The sequence below is a fragment of the Homo sapiens genome, chromosome 13, assembly GCF_000001405.40.
Source record: "Homo sapiens chromosome 13, GRCh38.p14 Primary Assembly".
Taxonomy (NCBI): Eukaryota; Metazoa; Chordata; class Mammalia; order Primates; family Hominidae; genus Homo; species Homo sapiens.
Genome location: NC_000013.11, coordinates 50,274,830 through 50,299,393, shown reverse-complemented (window position 1 = coordinate 50,299,393; position 24,564 = coordinate 50,274,830). Strand labels below are relative to the sequence as shown.

The 24,564-nt window shown below is 39.4% G+C and overlaps 1 long non-coding RNA gene across 1 annotated transcript in view, besides 1 other annotated feature; it reads right to left on the bottom strand.

Moving 5' to 3' along the window:
• The window catches only part of DLEU1 (deleted in lymphocytic leukemia 1), a 446,475-nt gene that overhangs the window by 229,250 nt on the left and 192,661 nt on the right, over positions 1 to 24,564 (bottom strand). The gene's annotated exons all lie outside the window — the stretch shown is intronic.
• Positions 22,422 to 22,944: an enhancer, noted in NCBI's record as "OCT4-NANOG hESC enhancer chr13:50850586-50851108 (GRCh37/hg19 assembly coordinates)". NCBI's record gives its function as "activates a minimal SCP1, AML or CMV promoter by ChIP-STARR-seq in primed H9 embryonic stem cells {active_cell/tissue: H9 hESC(primed)}" and the evidence as "EXISTENCE:reporter gene assay evidence [ECO:0000049][PMID:30033119]".

The following is a 24,564-nucleotide window of genomic DNA, read 5'->3' as shown; positions in this document are numbered from 1 at the left end:
ACTAATATAAATTCTTATCTCAAAATGTTGTTGCATTGCTTAAATAAGATAATGGAAAGCAAGTGGGTAATAACAAACTCCTCTGAGCTAAAGGAGCCTGTTCTAACGCAAAGCAAGGAAGCTAAGAACCTTAAAAAATGGTTAGAGGAATTGCTAACTAGAATAACCAGTTTGGAGAAGAACATAAATGACTTGATGGAGCTGAAAAACGCAGCATGAGAACTTTGTGAATCATGCACAAGTATCAACAGCCAATCAATCAAGCAGAAGAAAGGATATCAGAGACTAAAGATCAACTTAATAAAATAAAGCATGAAGACAAGATTAGAGAAATAAGAATAAAAAGGAACAAATAAAACCTTCCAGAAATATAAGACTATCTGAAAAGACCAAACTTACACTTGATTGGTGTACCTGAAAGTGATGGGGAGAATGGAACCAAGCTGGAAAACACACTTCAGGATATTATCAAGGAGAACTTCCCCAACCTAACGAGACAGACCAACATTCAAATTCAGGAAGTACAGAGAACACCACAAAGACACACCTCGAGAAGAGCAACCCCAAGACACATAATTGTCAGATTCACCAAGGTTGAAATGAAGGAAAAAATGTTAAGGGCAGCCAGAGAGAAAGGTTGGGTTACCCACAAAGGGAAGCCCATCAGACTTCTCCTTCTCTCTGCAGAAATCCTACAAGCCAGAAGAGAGTGGAGGCCAATATTCACCATTCTTAAAGAAAAGTATTTTCAACTCAGAATTTCATATCCAGTCAAACTCAGCTTCATAAGCGAAGGAGAAATAAAATCCTCTACAGACAAGCAAATGCTGAGAGATTTTGTCAGCACCACGCCTGCCTTACAAGAGCTCCTGAAGGAAGCACTAAATATGGAAAGGAAAAACTGGTACCAGCCACTGCAAAAACATATCAAATTGTAAAAACCATCGACATTTTGAAGAAACTGCAACAACTAATGGTAAAAATAACCAGCTAGCATCATAATAACAGGATCAAATTCACACATAACAATATTAACCTTAAATGTAAATGGGCTAAATGCCCCAATTAAAAGACACAGACTGGCAAACTGGAAAGAGTCAAGACCCATTGGTGTGCTGTATTCAGGAGACCCATCTCATGTGCAAAGACACATATAGGCTCAAAATAAAGGGATGGAGGAATATTTACCAAGCAAATGGAAAGCAAAAAAAAAAAAAAAAAAAAAAAAAAAACAGGGGTTACAATCCTAGTCTCTGGTAAAACAGACTTTAAACCAACAAAGATCAAAAAAACACAAAGAACAGCATTACATAACGGTAAAGGGATCGATGCAACAAGAAGAGCTAACTATCCTAAATATATATGCACCCAATACAGGAGCACCAAGATTCATAAAGCAAGTTCTTAGAGACGTGCAAAGAGTCTTAAACACCCACACAATAATAGTGGGAAAACTTAACACCCCACTGTCAATATGAGAGAGATCAACGAGACAGAAAATTAACAAGGATATTCAAGACTTGAACTCAGCTCTGGACCAAACAGACCTAATAAACATCTGCAGAACTCTCCACCCCAAATCAACAGAATATACATTTTTCTCAGCACCACATCGCACTTATTCTAAAATCAACCACATAATTGGAAGTAAAACTCTCCTCAGCAAATGCAAAAGAACAGAAATCATAACAAACAGTGTCTCAGACCACAGTGCAATCAAATTAGAACTCAGGATTAAGAAACTCACTCAAAACCACACAACTACATGGAAACTGAACAATCTGCTCCTGAATGACTACTGGGTAAATAACTAAATTAAGGCAGAAATAAATAAGTTCGTTGAAACCAATGAGAACAAAGACATAACGTACCAGAATCTCTGGGACATAGCTAAAGCAGTGTTTAGAGAAAGAATTATAGCACTAAATGTCCACAGGAGAAAGCAGGAAAGATCTAAAATCGACACCCTAACATCACAATTAAAGGAACTAGAGAAGCAAGAGCAAACAAATTCAAAAGCTAGCAGAAGACAAGAAATAACCAAGATCAGAGCAGAACTGAAGAAGATAGAGACACGAAAAACCCTTCAAAAAAATCAACAAATCCAGGAGGTGGTTTTTTTTAAAAGATCAACAAAATAGATAGACTGCTAGGCAGACTTATAAAGAAGAAAAGAGAGAAGAATCAAATGGACACAATAAGAAATGATAAAGGGGATATCACCACTGATCCCACAGAAATACAAACTACCATCAAAGAATATCATAAACACCTCTATGCAAATAAACTGGAAAATCTGGAAGAAATTAGTAAATTCCTGGACGCATACACCCTCCCAAGACTAAACCAGGAAGAAGTCAAACCCCTAAACAGACAAATAACAAGTTTTTAAATTGAGGCAGTAATTAATAGCCTACCAACCAAAAAAAAAAAAAGCCCAGGACCAGATGGATTCACAGCTGAATTTTACCAGAGGTACAAAGAGGAGCTGGTACCATTCCTTCTGAAACTATTCCAAACAACAGAAAAAGAGGGACTCCTCCCTAACTCATTTTATGAGGCCATCATCATCTTGATGCCAAAACCTGGCACAGACACACACACACAAAAAAGAAAATTTCAGGCCAATATCGCTGATGAATATCGATGTGAAAATTTCCAATAAAATGCCAGCAAACCAAATCCATCAGCACATCAAAAAGCTTACCTACCAAAATCAAGTCAGCTTATCATCCCTGGGATGCAAGCCTGGTTCAACATATGCAAATCAATAAACATAATCCATCACATAAACAGAACCAATGACAAAAACCACATGATTGTCTCAATAGATGCAGAAAAGGCCTTTGATAAAATTCAACACTTCTTCATGCTAAAAACTCTTAATAAACTAGGTATTGATGGAACGAATCTCAAAATAATAAGAGCTATTTATGACAAACTCACAGCCAGTATCATACTGAATGGGCAAAAGCTGGAAGCATTCCCTTTGAAAACTGGCACAAGACAAGGATGATGCCCTCTCTCACCATTCCTATTCAACATAGTATTGGAAGTTCTGGCCAGGGCAATCAGGCAAGAGAAAGAAATAAAGGGTATTCAAATAGGAAGAGAGGAAGTCAAATTGTCTCTGTTTGCAGATGACATTATTGTATATTTAGAAAACCCCATCGTCTCAGCCCAAAATCTCCTTAAGCTGAGAAGCAACTTCAGCAAAGCCTCAAGATACAAAATCAATGTGCAAAAATCACAAGCATTCCTATACACCAATAATAGACAGCCAAAACATGAGTGAACTCCCATTCACAATTGCTACTAAGAGAATAAAATACCTAGGAATCCAATTTACAAGGGATGTGAAGGACTTCTTCAAGGAGAACTACAAACCACTACTCAAGAAAATAAGAGAGAACACAAAAAAATGGAAAAACATTCAATTCTCACGGATAGAAAGAATCAGTATCATGAAAATGGCCATACTGCCCAAAGTAATTTACAGATTCAATGCTATCCCCATCAAGCTACCATTGACTTTCTTCACAGAATTAGAAAAAAACTACTTTAAATTTCATATGGAACCAAAAAAGAGCCTGTATAGCCAAGACAATCCTAAGCAAGAAGAACAAAGCTGGAGGCATCATGCTACCTGACTTCAAACTATACTGCAAGGCTACAGTAACCAAAACAGCATGGTACTGGTACCAGAACAGATATATAAACCAATGGAACAGAATGGAGGCCTCAGAAATAACGCTGCATATCTACAACTATCTGATCTTTGACAAACCTGACAAAAGCAAGCAATGGGGAAAGGATTCCCTATTTAATAAATGGTGTTGGGAAAACTGGCTAGCCATATGCAGAAAACTGAAACTGGATCCCTTCCTTACAACTTATACAAAGATTAATTCAAGATGGATTAAAGACTTAAATGTAAGACCTAAACTCATAAAAACCCCAGAAGAAAACCTAGCCAATACTATTCAGGACATAGGTGTGGGCAAAGACTTCATGACTAAAACACCAAAAGCAATGGCAACAAAAGCCAAAATAGACAAATGGGATCTAATTAAACTAAAGAACTTCTACACAGCAAAAGAAACCATCATCAGAGTGAACAGGCAACCTACCGAATGGGAGAAAATTTTTGCAATCTACCCATCTGACAAATGGCTAATATCCAGAATCTACAAGGAACTTAAACAAATGGCTTAAACAACTTAAATGCTTAAATAAACAAGAAAAAAACCCATAAAAAATGGGCAAAGGATATGAACAGACACTTCTCAAAAGAAGACATTTATGCAGCCAACAAACGTGAAAAAAAAAAGCTCATCATCACTGGTCATTAGAGAAATATAAATCAAAACCACAATGAGATACCATCTCATGCCAGCTAGAATGGCAATAATTTAAAAAGTCAGGAAACAACAGATGCTGGAGAGGATGTGGAGAAATAGGAATGTTTTTACACTGTTGTTGGGAGTGTAAATTGGTTCAACCATTGTGGAAGACAGTGTGGTGATTCCTCAAGGATCTAGAACCAGCAATACCATTTGACCCAGCAATCCCATTACTGGGTATATACCCAAAGGATTATAAATCATTCTACTATAAAGACACATGCACACGTATGTTTATTGCAGCACTGTTCACAATAGTAAAGACTTGGAACCAACCCAAATGCCCATCAACGACAGACTGGATAAAGAAAATGTGGCACATATATACTGTGGAATACTATGCAGCCATAAAAAGGATGAGTTCATGTCCTTTGCAGGGACATGGATGAAGCTGGAAACCATCATTCTCAGCAAACTAACACAGGAACAGAAAACCCAACAGCACATGTTCTCACTCATAAGTGGAAGTGGAACAGTGAGAACACATGGACACAGGGAGGGGGAACATCACACACCGAGGCCTGTCGGGGGATGGGAAGCTAGGGAAGGGATAGCATTAGGAAAAACACCTAATGTAGATGACAGGTTGATGGGTGCAGCAAACCACCATGGCACGTGTATACCTATGTAACAAACCTTCACATTCTGCACATGTATCCCAGAACTTAAAGTATAATTAAAAGAAAAAAAAGATTAGTACAACACAGTCTCCAAAAAGGGGATGTGGGAAAGTAGAAGAGAAATAGAATGAGAGAAAGTAAAGAGAGAGATTGAGAGAGAAAAAGAGACTGAAGTTTCCATGTTCCTTAAAAGTGTAGGAAGAATTCTAATCAAAATATAATCATTCAAATGCTTTTTAGTCTTGCAGCTGTAACAATATGACCCAGTCCCACAGAAGTCAAAGCCATTTGCCATAAATAGAGGCGCCCCATCACCCCAGGTCATGCTTAGAACTGCATTTCTGAAACCCCATTTCTGGTAATCTGCTAGGGAAGAAAAAAAAAAAACATGTTAAAATGGAGAGTTAAAGCAATCTGCACAGAATTTAAACCCTTCTGATTACTACTCTAATTATAACTATATCTACCACCTTTTCTGGTGGATCTGGCAAGAACCTACACTCCTCAACCTAATTCCACCCATTTATTCAACAAAATTAAACTGATAGCATTAATCAGGGAAAAATCTCTTTGCTTACCTCTGCCCCACTTGAAAGCCCTAGGTCAGCTCTCCGCCTGCTTTGCATCATTGTTACACAGAGTGGAACTACTTGAAAGGAAATCACAACACAAACAATAAACTTTTAAGTCCACCTTCCTTAAAAGTGAAGCAACTCTTTATATACAGCCAAGAATATCAAGGTGCAATATAGGAGGATGCCCAATATTCAAGCACAGTTAATAAAACACTAATACAACATAGTTTTCAAAGCATGGGATATGGGGGGAGGTGGATACCTGTGCTCCAGGTATCACTCTTTTGAAAGCAAAAGCAATCCTGCTCATTTGGGTGTTCTCCAATCCAAGGTGGTCTCGAGAGAGAAGAACTGCATTTAGGAGTCTAAGCGACTGCTTCTTTACACTCCTACAACAGCATTGTAGGGGGTAACAATGCTGGGGCTGGAACACGGGCCATTATGAGGCTGTCACCTTCTCATGTAACTCAGCTTTTCAACTGGGCCAAAAGGCTTAGGGCTCCTGGGGCATGGGCCCATAGGAGCAGGCCCTTGAACGGTAACAAGACCTATGTTCAACCTGGAACCAATAAGGAAAATGAAGGAAAGCAGGTCTGAACGATTGCTGATTGCCAAGTGTCCTAGAGCAGGCCTGTGGCATGTATAACTCCATACAAATGTACTTCTTACTGTAATGTAAGGGGCAAAATGGCAACTAAAGATAGTGTAGAGAAGGATGTCCAAGCACTTCAAAGGAGGCTTGTTTTAACTCACAAATGGCTTATGAGTCTGGAAGACTTGGACTCCTTGAATCAGTGTTTACCAGGCTCCCAGAATGTGCCAAACATTGAACAGCAAATTCTAGCCCTCCCTTCAAACAGTCCACTTGCTCTCAAATGGCAATGAATTCTATTCTTTTTTAAGGAATTGCAAGATTTTTTTTAAAGCATTGAGGGTTTTGTTTGTTTGTGTTTTTTGTTTTTTTGAGATGGAGTCACTCTGTCGCCCAGGCTGAAGTGCAATGGCTCGATCTTGGCTCACAGCAACCTCCATCTCCTGGGTTCAAGCAATTCTCCTGCCTCAGCCTCCCAAGTAGCTGGGATTACAGGCACCTGCCACCACACCTGGCTAATTTTTGTATTTTTAGTAGAGACGGGGTTTCACCATGTTGGTCAGGCTGGTCTCGAACACCTGACCTCAGTGATCCACCTGCCTCAGCCTCCCAAAGTGCTGGAATTACAGGCGTGAGCCACCGTGCCCAGCCAAGTTACATTATTAAAGCATTTGGTCAGCTCCTTTATTTTGCTTTGTTGAAAGTCAGCAAAAGGGGAAGGCAGAGATTTTAAGAAAGTTTAAAAAAGAAAGAAACTACCTTCTTGGAAATTTTAATTGTTCCTGGATAGTGTTATAGAAAAGTCCTGAATGGGAGGAAGGAAATGTAACATATTTAGTGGCTACTCTGGCCAAACACTCCACCAAGTACACTTACAAGTGACTCCTTACAGTTTCATGAACACTGGGAAGTTTAGTTTCAATTTCAAGATGAGAACACTGACATTCAGAGACAGTAAGAGGCTTGCCTGAAGTCACAGAGGAAACGCACAGTGGAGCTGGGATTTTTAACTTGGTTCTCTCTGATTCCAAATGCTTCCAACTGTGCTATGTAATATGTGGCTGGAGGCAAAAACAACTGCATTCTGGTCCTGGTTGTTCATTTATGAACTGCTAAGTGACCCAGGACAAGTACCCCTATTTCTCTGGTGGCTGCTAAGGCTCCCTTCAGCACTACCATATGTGCCTCTACAGCCCTTTCACTGCCAAGGTCCCTTTTCTTCTTTTTCATATTTTTCCTCTTGGAAGCTGATATGGTTTGGATGTTTGTCCCCCCCAAATCTCATGTTAAAATGTAATCCCCAGTGTTGGAGATGGGGCCTGTTGTGAGGTGACTGGATCATGGGGGCAGATCCCTCAGGAATGGTTTAGCTCCATTTCCTTGGTGATAACATGACTCACGAATGGCTTATGAGTCTGGAAGACTTGGATTCCTCGAATCAGTGCTTACTAGGCTCCCAGAATGTGCTAAACATTGAACAGCAAATTCTAGCCCTCCCTTCAAACAGTCCACATGCTCTCAAATGGCAATCAATTCTATTCTTTTTTAAGGAATTGCAAGGAAGCCTTCAGTTAGTACACATGAGATCTGGTTGTTTAAAAGTCTGGGACCTTCCCCCTACCTCTTGCTCTCGCTCTCCCCATGTGACACACTGGCTTCCCATCACCTTATACCATGATTGCAAGCTTCCTGAGACCTCACCAGAAGTAGATGCTGGAGACATGCTTCCTGTAAAGCCTGCAGAACCATGAGCCAATTAAACCTCTTTTCTTTATAAATTACCCAGATGGATATTTCTTTATAGCAACACAAAAACAGCCTAACACAGAAGCCATGTTTTGAATGATGGTATCTACCCAAATGTGTATCTCTCAAGTAATAACTGATTTACTTTTCCCAGAATAATTAATTTTTTAATCCTACATATCAGGAACATGGGACCACTATAGCTATTCCAAATACAGGAAATTTGCTATGAGGAATTCATTATGCAAGTGATGGGAGACCTGAAAGAGTCCCTAAGGAGTGGCGAGACAAGAGCAGAAAGCCATTGCCATTCCTAGAGCCGAAGGAACAATGAGAGGAGACGTTGCTATTGCCTTCCAAAAGCCACGACCATCAGTGGGAGCCAGAACTATGGTGGAGGCTGCCTGGTGGGATGGGACTGTGGAGGCAGTGACTATCCAAGCAAAGTTAGAGCCACTGCAGAAACACAGCCACTGAGGGAGACCCAGCCCAGGGCAGAGCAAGAAGGGAGCCACTCACTCCCTGGCTTCTCCCTTCTCCCACCCTCTAGGCTTCCTCTGGTGCCTCCCATTCGCTGAAGCTACTCAGAAGTCATTGGCAAGTAACCCTAGGAAAGTTAATTCCCTTTGATGCAAAATGAGGGAAGGTAGAGAATGAACTTGAGAGGAAGCAGGAGAATGACCCACACAACTTAAATAACTGGTCATCACAGCTTCTGATGAGCATATGACAGAAAAGTGACCAAAGGGACTACATAAAACTCTGGCCAAAAGCAAAGCAACTTAACATCTTATTTAGCCCATGAAACTTTGCCTCAGATGAAATGCAGACTTTCCATCAGGCTCCACGAAATCATTTTACACACTTTGGAACTCTCAGGTGATCAGGGACACCAGCCAGGGAAACACAATTCACATTCCACCAATCTTCTTTGCCTGTGATTCTAATAAAATACAGGGATCTGGACTGAAAGAACATGGGGGTGGAAAACAGGATCCTAATTCTAGCCCTGCCTGATGTAATCCTCAGGAAGTGACTTCCCTTTCTTGGTACTCAGGCTTTCTCTCTGCAAAGGGGTAGTTGTAATTACTACCAATCTCTAGAATTACAAGTCATTACAAGATTACAAAATCACTACTAATCCCCAGAATTACTAAATAAAGTTAGGTAATACAGTTCTCAATTACTTGCGCTATACCCAGAAAATGTACCACATGTCATAAACTCTAAATTTTTTTTACATTTTAACACCTCTAAAATTGAAATATGTCTCACCAGAACTTGCCATAGTTTAATTGGTAGCTGTGATGGTCAGTTTTTGTGTCAAATTGACTAGGCTACAGTCTCCAGCTATTCAATCAAATACTAATCTAAGTGTTGCATTGAAGGTATTTGTAGATGTGATTAAAGTCCATAATCAGTTGCCTATAAGTAAGGAAGATTATCCTAGACAGTTTTGGTGGGCCTGATTCGATCTGTTGCAAAGCCTTAAGTGCAGAGTTGAGACTTCCCTGGTGAAAGAGGAATTTTGCCTATGGACTCATGCCTGGGAGTCTCAGCCTGCCCTTCCTAGTGACCTACCCTTTGGATTTCAGACTTGCCTAACCACCCCCCACAATCATATAAGCCAACTCCTTGCAATATATCTCTTAATACATAGCTCCTACTAGTTCTATGTCTTTGCTTGAACCCTGACTAATATGGTAACTTTTTTCTTTCTCAGTAATTGATAAAACAAAGGTTCTTCTAATAATCAATTGTATCTTAAATTTGATCAAATATGGAAATTTCTACTTTCTCTACGTAACTCATCTGATCATCCTCACAAAGCCTAAACCCCCAGAGCAAACCTGGAAAAAATAATATAAAATGCTTTTTCAATCCATCAACCTTGATCTGATGCAATAATTATGGCAGTCTCTTTAATTAATTGCTTGATCTATTTGTGTAAAATCTTTCCCTCCCCATCCTCCAATTCAAGAAGGTGACTGGTTGGAGGGGCCAGGTACGCTCATTAATGATGGCGTGATAGAGGAAGAAAGGGGGTCCTCAGAGCTTCACCTGGTCATCTGAATTCTCACTGGGCCTCTGCTGCAGAGGAGCCAGACTGAGTTTCTCCCTGAACTGCTGACCACAGAGGAACAAATGGACCTGTCTGGCCATTTGAGATCATGTGCTGGCACCGACTGCTGGAACCCAAGATCCGAGCTATTTATTCTCATCTTTAAGTCCTCACCCAAAATGAACTCTCTCCTGCATGAGGGCCTCTGCTGGTTCACCAGGGCCCTCAGCATCTCCACCTCTCCTCCTTGGGACTTGGAGTTACATAAGTCCCTGGGGTCCAGAATGGCAGACCTGGGCTCCTGGTACCACCTACACTCACTCAGGCACCATGATGGCCACGGTGCCAAGCCTACACCTATGATTTCCCTAAGGGCTTGAGTCTTCACTACAGTAGCTCAAAGGAGCAAAGGTTTCTGCAGACCATCCATACCAATACAGATACTGCTTTCTAAACCCACAGTCCCTTCCCTATCCCAAGTTGGACCCTAAGAAAAGAAAAACAAGGGCTCCGACACCTGACCATCTTATTTCCATAATCTTCTCAGAATAGAAGGGAAAACTGTTCATTTTCCTCAACATCATGTCTTTCTTCTATCCAGGAGGACCTTTGGTTCAGCCTACAGAGGCAGAGCAGGAATCTTCTGAACATTTCTAGAAAAAACTAAATAATCTGAGTCCTCCAGACCATATCACTGAGAGGCTACAGAGATTTAGAAAAGCTTTTTACATTGGTCTTTTGAGCTCATTGTTTCAATAATTGAGAAGCCCCCAAGATACCAAAATTTATAATAGAAATATATCTGAAAAATATTAATATATCATCTCCATTACAGATATTTTTGTCACCATTAGGATCAAGAGCCTACATGTCACATGAATAGATAATTCTCAAAAGAAGATATACAAATTGTCAACAAACATATGGAAAAATGCTCAACATCACTAATTATCAGAGAAATGAAAATCAAAACCACAACGCAATACCACCTCACTTCTGCAAGAATGGCCATAATCAAAACATTTAAAAAAAAAAAAATAGATGTTGGTGTGGATGTGATGAAAAGGGAACACTTTCACACTGTTGGTGGGAATGTAAACTAGTACAACCACTATGGAAAACAGTGTGGAGATTCCTTAAAGAACTAAAAGTGGATCTGCCATTTGATCCGGCAATTCCACTACTAGGCATCTACCCAGAGGAAAAGAAGTCATTATACGAAAAAGATACTTGCACATGCCTGTTTATAGCAACACAATTTGCAATTGCAAAAATATGGAACCAGCCCAAATGTCCATCCATCAATGAGTGGATAAAGAAAATGTTATATATCTATATAGATATATAGATATAATGGAGTATTACTCAGCCATATAAAGGAATGAAATAATGGTATTCACAGCAACCTGGATGGAATTGGAGATCATTATTCTAAGTGAATTAACTCAGGAATGGAAAACCAAGAATGTTACAATAAACTTTGGGAACTCGGAGGAAAGGGTGGGAGGAGAGTGAGGGATAAAAGACTACACATTGGGTACAATGTACACTGCTTGGGTGATGGGTGCACCAAAATCTCAGAAATCATCACTAAAGAACTTATTCATGTATTCAAACACCACCTGTTCCCCAAAAACCATTAAAATAAAAAATAATTTTTTTAAGAAACAGTCTGCATGTCACAGATGAGCTCAATATATAGGCTTTTATAAATCTACCAAATCAGGAAAACTTGGATTGACTGAGTCAGTTTTACTGAATTGAGAATTGGTGGCACACAGAACAGCAAATCCAGGTCTTGCCACTTAATCCATCTGAACACTGCTTCCTCCTTTTCCAAAATCCCTTAATGAAAAATCCCTTTTCAGTAAGGGATTTTTCACATTTCAATATCCCTTATGGAATATCGATTCAATATCCCTTGTTGAAATGTGAAAATGCTTTATACATTTCACAGTGCTTTGTACATACACAGTATTAGTACTACCCTTTTTAAAATCATTAAAATTCTTGCTTCACTAATTTTAAAACTTACATTACTCAGACTAACTTCTTGCATACCTCTAGTCTATGCAACTGTGTCAATTTTCCCAGCTAAAGAGACCCATGGCATCATTACTGTCATCAGCCCCACAATCATCATTATTATTACTATTATTGACAAAATGCGATATATTCCTTGTTGCAGCTAGACAGCTTGACATTTCTTCTTCCTTTTCATTTGCTAATAATATGAGAAAGATTAAGTAGATTTTTAACCAAATTTTATGCGATGACATAGGAAAATGAGTTATACTACTTCGTTCAGTCTACCATTTGAAACGAAATATGTGTTGCTTGATTTTTCAAACAAAAAAAAAGTATTCCATAGTTTTCCAGAATTTCAGCAAAATCTGGTTAGTAGAAAGAAATTACAGTGATTTGAATTGCCCTGAATAAGAACTGCAGATTACAGAATGTGTAGTGATTTCTATTAGGAGACGTCATATGCTACCTAAACTTCATGGTACCAACAAGGGTGGGAAAGAGTGGCTGATAAGAGCAAAGGCTACATCTGGCCAAACAAAAGTTCTTCTCCTGTCACTGCAACTTCTGAGAGCAAGCAAATGCTAGATCCAGCTAGGTAGGCCCTTATTCTTATTTATCTAAGCTCTGCAAACAGCCAGACTGAGAAGCACACTTAATGCATGCTTTTAAATTTTTTATTTTTTTATTTTACCTCAAACCATACCCCTAAGGGCTGTGAGCTGCCTTTCTGAGTCTAAGACGGGGCCCTTTGTGAACGTTGCTAAGGACAGTGGTTAGAAATGCCCAGATCGGTCTGACAGGAGCCTGCAGCTGAGTTCCTATCTATGGCTGTTGCTATAACTAAGTGTTACATTGCTGCAGGCCTGCTCAGCACAGCAGGTTGGTTTAATTACTTTTCTTACCAACTGGGTGGAGAAATATTTCATCTGGATTCTCTGTGGAGTGCTTTATTTGGTAATTGGTCTAAGAACAGAGGAGGAAACAAATCTCTTTTTGGCAGGATCTGGGGCCTCAAGGTAGAATCTCTGGGAGTCCTATTTTTAAACAGAGAGGATGCAGGCAAGACATTGGTGAGGCTGTTGGGCCATCTGAGTGGTACGACTGCTCCAGGGGCCTGCATGGGGACATGTAGTAATATATTCAAGGGGGAACGGAGTAATAGCCATCATTGAGGATATAATTGATTTCAGGAGGTGACTAAAGGTCATAGGAGACAAGACCACTAAACTAGAACCTTGGACTCGAAAAGAAGAAATGTGACTGAAAATAGTGAGAATAATGTTTCTGTGTGGTTCATGCACTGGGTTTAAATGTAATTCGAAAGTTGAAGTTTGAAAAATGGTTTGAATACTAAGCACTAAGTAGGCACCCCTCAAAAATGTTATTGTCCTAATCACCCAACAAAGAAAGCATTGTTGGACTAGGTATATAACTTTGCAGGGTCAGTGTTCTAAATAGCAATACTGATATAAATAGATAAATTATGAAAATTTTAGTCTTTAAATTGTTTGCTGACTATAATCTGATTGTCTTCATGCCCAGAGAAAAATAAATAAATATAATAAGAACTATCGGAAAGTACTTTTTAGACCTTCAGGTATGGGCACTATTACATTCTAGTTTTGATCTACAAGTATGAATATTATCAAATAGTTGGTCAATGGTTGTTGATTTGAAATTTTTCATGTAGCATCATTCAGAGGGTATAAGCAGTATAACCAGATCCCAGAAAGGCTTAGTAACAGTACAAGGGAAACAATCCTAGAGGTTTTTATTAATTGAAAGTTCCATATGTGTCAGCAGAGTTTCATGGTTGCCAAAAAAAAGGTAATGAAATCTCAGGCTTCAGAAACTAAAGTAGAGTGTTCATTGTAATGTGGGCCCAGTCATGCTCAAATGCGCACTGATAAGGAAACCTGGACTCTCGTGTTCACTTCTGGACAAACTAAAGCACAGTAGAGTGACTAGGATAGTAAGGGGAACAGAATGCACAGAATATGAAGAACAATTACAGAACTTAAGAAAACTTCACTTGGAGAAGAGAAGTCTTACGGGACATTTGATGATGCACCAATATCTGCAAGGTTAAAGGAAGAAGAGAAATTAGATTTATTGTCTTCCTCCTCTTCAAGAGGAAGAATCAGGACCAATGGATAAATGTTATAAGAAGTAGATTTGAGCCAATATAGAAAGTATTCTGAAAATTAAAGTGGTCCAAAAATGGATTGAGCTTCCTGGTGAGATAAAGAGGGGCCATTACAGGAGGTGTTTAGGTAGAAAATGCATGACTATTTATCAGAACTATTGTGGGAAGGACTCTTGCATCACAAAGAGGATTGGCCTGGAAGATATCTAAGGACATTTTGCAATTCTTATAGTCCTTGATTCTAAGTATTATCTGTGATTCCTAATGCACTTGCTGTATGGACACATATGCTTTGCACAGGTAGATTTATCCAAATTCATTAAAAATAGTGTGACCCTGCCACTGGGAGAAAAATAATAATCTGTTACTTACTTCCTGAACTAACTGCTATTTACCACCTATCATTATGAAACTTTCTTGTGGGTTTTCAGTTCAGTCTTAGTACTAAATAGGAAGTAACTGAAATATTAGTTGAGTTGGATATTTAGAGGTTATTGGCAAACACTTACTGTGCACATATTACATGTTCAGCACTGCATCCACCCGACACATGCAAAAATGAATAAGGCATAGTCTCCACTCACAAGACGCTCATAGTCTAAAAGGTCAACTCACACCTAAAGAGAAATATAAGATACTCAGTAGCAAGCCAGAAGCCACAGAGTCTAGAAAAGTGGGTCTTAGTCCCACCTAGTTTAAGGGAAGACTTTCAGGACAGAATGATAGTTTATCCAGTAAGAGTTGGCCAAATAAAAATAGGAAGGGTATTCCAGAGAGAAGGATCTTTGTGAAGTGCAGAGCAGCAGAGTATGAAGGAACCACTAGAGTATAATGCATCAGGTGTCAAGCAGGGAGGGTGGAAAATAAGACTTCGGACAGAGAGAGAAGGCAATGTACAAAGGGCTCATACACTATTGCTTAGGAGTTTGTGGAGCAGCACAAGACTGCAGTCAGAAAAATAACAAAGTTAGATCTGCATTTTAGGTGGAATAATCCAGCTAGAATGCCAAAGACGGTAACTGAAAATTTGTAAATAATTTGGTGCAGTTTGAAGTTTTGTTCACATGTATTGTCAAAAGTTTGGTTTTTTTTAATTCCACACAAATTAAATCCTTTGTTAAGCACACATGCCTTCTAAATGAAACACATTTACAAGAAAAGCAACTCCTCATGTTGGCCTTTCTGTAATCTACAGCTCTCTCTACTTCCTACTTCATCCATTTCTCCCAGGAATTGGAAGGTTGAATCAGAAACAGCTCTTTCTTATTCATCTTTTTCAGAAATACATTTGGAAACTGCCATTCATCATCCTCAACCTAGAAAACAAAAAGATAGAAGCAGAAACCTGTCCTTCAAGAAACAAATGTGCAGGAGGGAATTTTTTTTTTTTTTTTTTTTTACTGATAAAAAGCTACCTCTAGTTTTTTCAAAATGTTCATATCACCCTGGGCTGGCAGGGAAGGAGAAACCTAAAATCTGAGTTACTGTTAAGAGACAATTGTTCCCAAAGCTGATAATTTTTTTTTAAGCCAGAGCAAGATAATGATGTTGTCATGCAACTTAAAGATCAACTCTGTACATCACTGAGACAAAACTTGCTCTTCCTGTCAAGGTCCTCCATGGAAAACAACAGAAGTAAGACTCGTGCTGTCTCTATCTCATTTCCTTGGAATGAAAGTCGTCTTTTGTTTAGCATACGCACTGCAACTCTATTATCCTCCTGCTTCCATCCTTGACTATACAATATTGGTGACAGTCCATTTTCCGGCACCTGTTATAAAACAGATGCATTCCCCCCACCATTTAATTCAGTTAATGTTCCTAACAGTTTTGTGCAAAGTATCTCAGTCAGGTTCTCCACACGAAGTTTCTCAAAAGTGTACACATGTGAATAACACTAAACTAACTTCTACTTCCATATAATTCTGTCACAAGGTCACACAAAAAAACTAAACAGAAAAAAAAAATCCAGCTTCTGGGAGGGCTGCAGTTTTGCAATCATTTGCAAATAGTCCATAAGTCTCATCAGAGCTTGCTTCACTGTTAAATCAGGTCAAACAAGAAGAAAACTATGACGGTAGCAGGGCTGTTCAATAAGGGCAGATTCTTCATCCTCCTTTTGTATCTCTAATCCCCAAACTCTATTATTTCCACACAAAGGTTTAATAATTTGGAGCTATGGGAAGTCCTAAAATTTTGCTACTACATCTATCCAACATAGTCTAAGAACCTGCCTTTTGGAATCTCTTACACTAAAGGGCACTTTTCATCATAAACAGATCTTCCACTTAAGGTGACAAAATTTCACATGAATTCTCCCAGGCACAGGAAGAAATCTGCAATCTAGGGAGTAAGCACAGGCAGGACGTGCGGGAGAGCTGGACACAGCCCTGGCCCTGTCATGAGCTTAGCTGTGTGAACATGGACAACTCAGTCTCCTGAGTCCTCAGTGCCTTCACCCGTACCAAGGAGATTTGGACAAGCCACCTTTAACGCCATGCCCAGGCTTAGAATCCCATTAGGGCAATGACACGTGTTCTTGCCTGAGAAAATCTGTCTCAAGTTATAGGAAAAATGGAGGAAAACAGAAAAGACATTTTAAAAAATAAGAAGATAAGCAACCAGTAGAGGCAGATGACATCAGATAGGGTATCACCAAAGAAAGCAGAAATATGCTTAAACATTGTATGAGAAGCAAACAAGTGAGGAGTAGAGAAGACAGCAAATGAAAAGTGAGGATGAGTGACACTGAGAGAAGGGTGAGAAGAGCCACACAGAAGGAAGATAACTAGCCCTGCAGGCTGTTTGCTGGCAAGCCTGGCATGGGCATGGCAAAGAGGAGAACAAAGCCAGAGGCTCACTGGACATCTGTCTTCACCTTCATCTCCCCCAGACAAAACAGCAACTAGAGGACTCCTCTCTCAAGAAGTGCAGTCAACCTCCTGGGAAGAATTAAGGCTGCTTAGGAGACAATGACACTCCAGTGGCCCTCCTCATTCAAGAATGCCAAGGCCCCTCTTTGTCTAAAGGCTGACTCCCTACCAGCTTCCCATAGAGTGAAGCCTGACAATCAACATATTCCACCCTCAAACACAGAGCTCAAGTCAGCCTTCCTTTTATAGCAGATACCCAGAAGGAAGACCATCTAAGCAGAGCAAAATGGCAATGCCTACATACATCATCATAACAATTTTGCACAGAGAATATACAGAGTGTTTACCCTCTATGCAATTTTTATGAGAAAATTACTTGAGGATTTACTCCAGAAAAATGACAGCTAAACACAAAGAGTGAAATTCAAAAAAAAATAAAAAAAAAAGAATGAAACTCAACCAAGTGTCCAATAAAAAGAAATTCTAGGATGATATCTGTGTGTGAGGCTGAGAAAGCAATTGGTCCAACTGGAACAGGATGTCAGCACATTCCATGTATGGTATGTCCAAGAAAAAACTTACAGCTTCCAAGCAATGTACAAATGTACAGAATGACAATGATGCTTGTTATTAGTGACATGGTAAAAAGAAAAAAAAGAAAAAAAGAAAAAAAAAAGAGAGAGAGAAAGAAGTGTCCTATCTCAATAACGAATTCACATTTAGAACCTCCAAGAAAAACACTATCTTAAAAAAATCATGGCCCAAATACGAAACAAACTAAAATACTAAAATACTGCGTGATTTTGAATAGTTTATAAATTATAAGAAAATAAAAAGCATTTATCCTTTTGACCTGTATAGTGAGCATAGTGTCTCTTGAGGGTCAAGAGCTTGTGATGCTAGACATAAAGAGAAGAAAACATAACCTTAGCTTGTGGAAATACAATCTTAGAAAATATAATTTTTGGCTGTGAAATGGCAACATGTTATTCTCACGCATAATAATAAAATAGCTTTTAGCTTTAGAATCCATCTACTATACAAGATTTTAAATTGTTATAGAACAAAATGTCAATGTTAACAACTTTGATAATTAAAGAAATGAAAGTTCATAGTCAGAAGATGGGAGGCGGGATAATATGGAAGAGTTAGAAGGAAGGATAAGAATATGGATGGTCTCATCTAACATGGTGAGGAGTCAAGAGACCATCTCTAAAGTTGATTGCACAAAATTTGAGGTTTACAGGTATATTTTTTAAAGAAACACTGAAAAATTAAAATAATGATTACCAAAATTTGGAAGAGAGGGGACAGACGGGTGTTGTGTAAGTAGCTTAAGCTTCTACTCATGGCAGGGAGTCAATAAAAAGTGTTTTAAATTGATCAATCAACACAAAGAAGGAAACAATGGACAGTGGGGTCTGTTAAGGGTGGAGGGTGGGAGGAGTAAGAGGGGCAAAAGAGATCACTGTTAGGTACTGAGCATAATACCTGAGTGATGAAATGATCTGTACAACCAACCCCCGTGACATGAGTTTACCTATGTAACAAACGTTCACATGTACCCTCGAACCTAAATAAAAGTTAAGAAAAAAAGGAAAGAAATTGATGACTCAAGAAACAAATGTCACTATTGGTGAAAGAATACAAAGTTACAGTTGTGTAGGATGAGTAAGTCTAGACATGTCATGTACAGAATGGTGACAATATTGTATTGCGTACTGGGAATTAGCTAATATAGTAGATTTCAATTGCTCTCACCACAAGACAAAAAAGGAACAATGTGAGGTGGTGGATAATCAATTATTTTGACTACAGTAATCACTTTACTATGTATATCAAAACATCATGTTGTACACTTTAAATATATACAATTTTTATGAAAAAAAAGGGAAGAAAAGTAGAAAGAAAAAAATGAGATCCAGTCTGGGAGATAAAGCTGGAAGACACAAGGTATTATAAGCCTTCCAGAAGCTTTACAATGTGTTTAAGTGTTAGTGCTATATAAACCTAGGAGTATGATTTGTAACCATTTATCAATGAGAAATAAAAGTATATATCACAATTGTAAAAAAGAAAGAAGTCATTGAAGAAAGAAATCGCTTACATTATCACACAATCAAGAAACCAGAGGTCATACCATAAATTTCAAACAGATGGAATATAATACAAGGACTTAGTTACAAGGGTGTTTGAAAGGTCAGAAATCGGGAGAGTGAACGTTGCTTTAAATATGTAGGAATTGCAAATGAGTGACCTGCTGGTCAGGATTTGAAAGAAGGAAGAATAGAATGGTGAAGTCAGAGGAGGAGCACTGGGGTAAAATGGTAAGTTCAGTTGGGGGTGTAATTAAATAATCACAAGAGGCAATGAATAATTGTCAATTAAGTGCTAAAAACTAGAGCCAGCGCTTGCCAAGCCCTTGAGCCTTTGGACACATACGTCATTCTGTTTTCTGACATTGTCTTCTCGAAATGAACGGAAAGAGGGAAAAGGAACTGGGTTCTGAAATGGAGACAGTGAGAGTGGGAGGTTAGCTTGAAGCAGTGTAGCAAGCACTGAATCAGTGCACATGGAGAAATTGATCCCATCTGATCCCAGTGGCACTAACATCCCTTTTGGCCCCGGGGCATGTACTTGGTGATGCAGGTGTTTCTGTGGTTCACGGTTTTATTGCCTTTCCTTGGTTCTGTCCCACCTTCTTCAGCAAATTGGAGGGGTAGGTTCTGAAGCTTCCACTTTCGCTGAAACTACAAATCACTCCTACTAAAGTGCTCCACTCCCACCCCCTACAGGGCACACAACAAAGCCTGGTGCCTTGACAGCAAAGTGAAGGAGAGGTGGAACTTCATGGAAATGCCCTGGAGTGAAACCTGTTGGAGACTTCATCCACTGAGTTCAGGATGTTTGTTTGACTTGAGATGTCCCACCATTCCTCTTTGAACATCATTTAAATGGATGTCATAGTTCACAAAAACAGTGAACATGCTTGAGCTACAGCTAATACTTTAAAGCCCTACCAAAACTACATTTACCCAGAATATCATTTAGGTCTCAACTCAGAAGTCAACTCCTCAGAGAGACCTGTTCAGACCACCAAGCTAAAACCACCTCCAGTCACCCTCTACCACATCACCCTATTTAACCTTCTCTTTAGCGTTTGTCTATGCATGCAATTTTCTCACTCATCTATATGCTTGCTAGTTTATTACTTCTGTTTTGCTGGCTTATGGTCTGTCTCTCCTCACCAGAATGTAGGTTATACAAGGTCAGGGATGCTATTATATTCTCTGCTCTATCCCCAGACTCTAGAACAGTGTTCAGCATTTAGTAGGTCCAAAGTAAATATTTGTTGACTCTCAAATGTTTGCTGCATCTTTTCATGACTTATGTTCTGGTTGGAGTTTTTAAAAATTAGAGAACAGGCTGGGCACGGTGGCTCATGCCTCTAATCCCAGCACTCTGGGAGGCTGAGGTGGGCGGATCACCTGAGGTCAGGAGTTTGAGACCAGCCTGGCCAACATGGTGAAACCTCATCTCTACTAAAAATACTAAAATTAGCCAAGTGTGGTGGCGCATGCCTGTGGTCCCAGCTACTCGGGAGGTTGAGGCAGAAGAATCGCTCGAACTTCAGAGGCGGAAGTCGCAGTGAGCCAAGATCACACCACTGCACTCCAGCCTGGGTGACAGAGCAACAAGACTCCATCTCAAAAAAAAAAAAAAAAGGAAAAAGAAAAAAGAAAAAGTAGGTATCATATGGACATTAAAATTAAATAAAATCAGAATTGGAGACAACTGTGACCAAGAAACCACCTTTGCAAAAATTGTAACTGAGAAAATAACAGTGAACGCTATCTAACCTAACTGACTCCATCTTGTTTCTAACCTCCAAGCTGTCCTTGTTCATTTTTGTGTGTAGGCTGAACTAACTTTGGGAGGAACTTCGTTTATAGTTGAACTTTGAAAAACAGGGTAACAGCCCTTTCCCAAAACAAACCCCCTTCCTGCCTGGGGACTAGACTGCCTTTGTGGGACTAATAAAGTAGCCACAAGATTAGAAATTATGGCTTTGGAGTCATGCAGCTGGAGGCTGCAAGATTCTAAACCTCCCCAGATTGCTCCTGGGAATAACATCACTACTGTAAAACCTAAAATCAGTGCTTGAGATATTTTGCAGACCCTGTATTTGATGGATCAGCTGGCACCACCCAGATCAATAAACCGGCTCAGCTGGTCTTGCCGCCCCAACCCAGGAACAAACTCAAGAGGACAGCTTCGACTCCCTGTGACTTCATCTCCGATCCGATCAATCAGCACTCCCTACTTTCTGACCCCCTAGACACCAAATTACCCTTAAAAACCCCAATCCTCACGTTTTTTGGAAGACTGATTTGAGTAATAATAGAACTCCAGTCTCTTGTACAGCCGGCTCTGTGTGAATTAAACTCTTTCTCTACTGCAATTCCCCTGTCTTGATAAATTGGCTCTGTCTAGGCAGCAGGCAAGGAGAACAGATTGGGCAGTTACAACCACAGGAGAGTAAAACAAATAGTTCCATCAGGGTGAATTCTTGAGTGAACTTTCTTAGAAAACACTTGTTAACAGCTTTAAAAGATAGTTTATTGGAAGATAGTTTATTGGAAAATATGCAGCAGGAAAATTAATGTGAAATAGACTCTTCCAGCAGCTGCTAGCATGCAGACGGAGTCCCCAGATATAGTGCACAGGTAAATCACACTACGGAACACATAACTCCTCCTCAGAATTGGTTACATAATTTGTGGTGCCTAGTGCAAAATTAAAATGCAGGATCCCTTGTTCAAAAGGAATTACGGATTTCAAGGTGACAAGAGCAGAGCATTAAAACAACTACAGGACCCTTCTAACTGTAGGCACAGTCACACGCCCACGAGGCCAGCCCTGCTCTTTCTTCATCTACAACAGGAAAATGGGCCTGGCAGGGTGGTGTGGACGTTAGCCCAAGGGCAATTCTCAGAGATTGCGTGTGGCTGGGAGAACAGAGGTTCCCTAGCCCATCAGTGACTCAGCATGTATGTCTGGGTGGTGGGGGAGGCATGTGTGTGCCTGCATGTCTGTGTGGGTGTCTGTGTGTGTCTTGGTGTCTGTGTGTATGTCTGTTTGAACATGTATGTCTCTGTGTGCATCTTTATGTATTTCTGTTGTAGACGTATGTCTGTGTGGTGTGTCTGTGTGTGTATCTCTGTATGTTTGTGTACACAAGCACTTGTGCAAGCAAGTACCTCCATTCTATTACCTAGCCACATGCAATGGTCACCGAGGAATGAAAAGGAGACACAAACTCTTGATAAGAAGAGAGAAGTCCAGAGGAGAGTGTGTGACCTCGCTAGTGAGGGACAGAAAAGGAAAAGCTGGAAGAAACCAGGAAGACCCCAGCCACCTCCAATAGCAAGAAGATGTGTCACAGAAGAAGGGAAAGCTGCCATCAAACTAGAATGAAATAATTTGAATCTACTTTCTAATTTGCCCCAAAGTCAGTTTTGTTTCAAGAACACAGGACAGAACCAGGCAGCCGAGCTCTTCGAGGCCTTACATACACAAATTTTAAGATCCTGCAAACTCATAGAACCTGTACTGGAGGACAAAGGGGTCCCAGGGCCCCCTGGGGTGTCTTGATTACTCCTGTAGGGGAAGTTCACATTTAGATTGATATTGAATTTTCAAGTAGTACAAATTAAAACCAGTCCAACTCAGTAAGTCCCCTCTGAAATTCTTGAGCCAGGTAGGATTGGAATCTTTATAAGCATATGATTGACTGATAGCTAGTCCAGTAGCATTGACTTACAACTACAGTCACACACTGCATAACAACGTTTTGGTCGGGGACAGCCCACATACAGAGAGAGGGTGGTCCCATGAGACTATAATAGAGGTTAAAAATTCCTATTGCCTAGTGACATCTTCAGTGTCTTCACTAATGTGAAAACAAGAAAAAGCCTCAGGCAGGTCCTTCAGGAGATATTCTAGAAGAAAGCCTTGTTATCATAGGAGATGACAGCCCCATGCCTTTTATTGCCTCAGTGCTTTCCAGGGGCACAAGATGTGGCAGTGGAAAACAGTGATATTGATTATCCTGACCCTGTGGAGGCCTAGGCTAATGTGTGTGTTTGTGTCTTAGTTTGTACAAAAAATTGTTTAAAAAGTAAATAAAAATTCAAAATTTTAAAAATAGAAAAAACTTATAGAATAAGGGTATAAATAAAGAAAATATTTTTGTATAGCTGTATAGTGTGTTTGTGTTTTAAACTAGGTGTTATTACAAAAGAGTAAAAAGTATAAAGAATTTAGAAGTTTGTAAAGTGAAAAAGTTACAGAAGGCTAAGGTTAATCTATTACTGAAGAAAAATATTTTTATAAATGTAGTGTAGCCTAAGTGTAGGTGTTTCTAAAGTCTACAGTAGTGAACAATCATTACTAGGCCTTCACTTTCACTCCCCACTCATTCACTGACTCAGCCAGAGCAACTTCCAGCCCTGCAAACTCCATTCATAAGTGCCTTATACAAGCATGCCATTTTTTATCTTTTATATCATATTTTACTGTACCTTTTCTATGTTTAGATATGTTTAGATACACAAATACTTAACCATTGTGTTACAGTTGCCTGCAGTATTCAGTACAGTAATATGCTATAAAAGTGTGCAGCCTAGGAACAATAGGCTATTGCATACAGCCTAGGTGTGTGGTAGGCTATGCCATCTAGCTTTGGTAAATACACGCTCTGATGTTCACACAATGATGACATCACCTAAGAACATGTTTCTCAGAACATATGCCAGTCATTAAGCAACACATGACTGTAGTTATAAACAAGTAAAACCAGGGTGTTAATTAATCATTTATCAACCAGCAAAAAAGTCTTTCACAAAGTACTACAGGGGTCTGTCCTTAAATCTGTTCTAGTTAGTAATTCAAGTTAATAATTTAGACAAAAATATAGAAAACACATTTATCAGATCCACAGATGACCCTAAAGTGGGCAGGATAACTAATATGATAGAATATAGAATCAAGATTCAAATGTATCATCACCAGTGAAATGCTAGATAAAACTAACAGAATTAAATTTAACTGGGTCATTGTGAAGACCTTTTCAGGTCCCAAAAAGTACATGGCAAAGTCATAAAATATGAACAGCAGTTCAATTTGAATAATCCAGAAATTCTAATTAGTCAGAAGCTTACTACAATGCAGTAATATGGCATGCCTATTTAAAAAAAAGAGGGGGTGTGATGGTGAGACTACATTAATAAATAAACTCACAAAAGCCCAAATCATAGAAAATAATAATCCCACTTTGTCTTCATTAATGATACCCAAGCAGCTTGCAATACTGATGTGGTCCAGTGGGATGACTTTAAAGATGGCAACGCAGCACCTAGAGAGGTAAAAAAAACCACCTTCAGCTGCAAGGATTGTAGTACAATGCCAGGACTAGGACCCAGTGGTATGTAGACCATTAATTTTTCCCACTAGATGA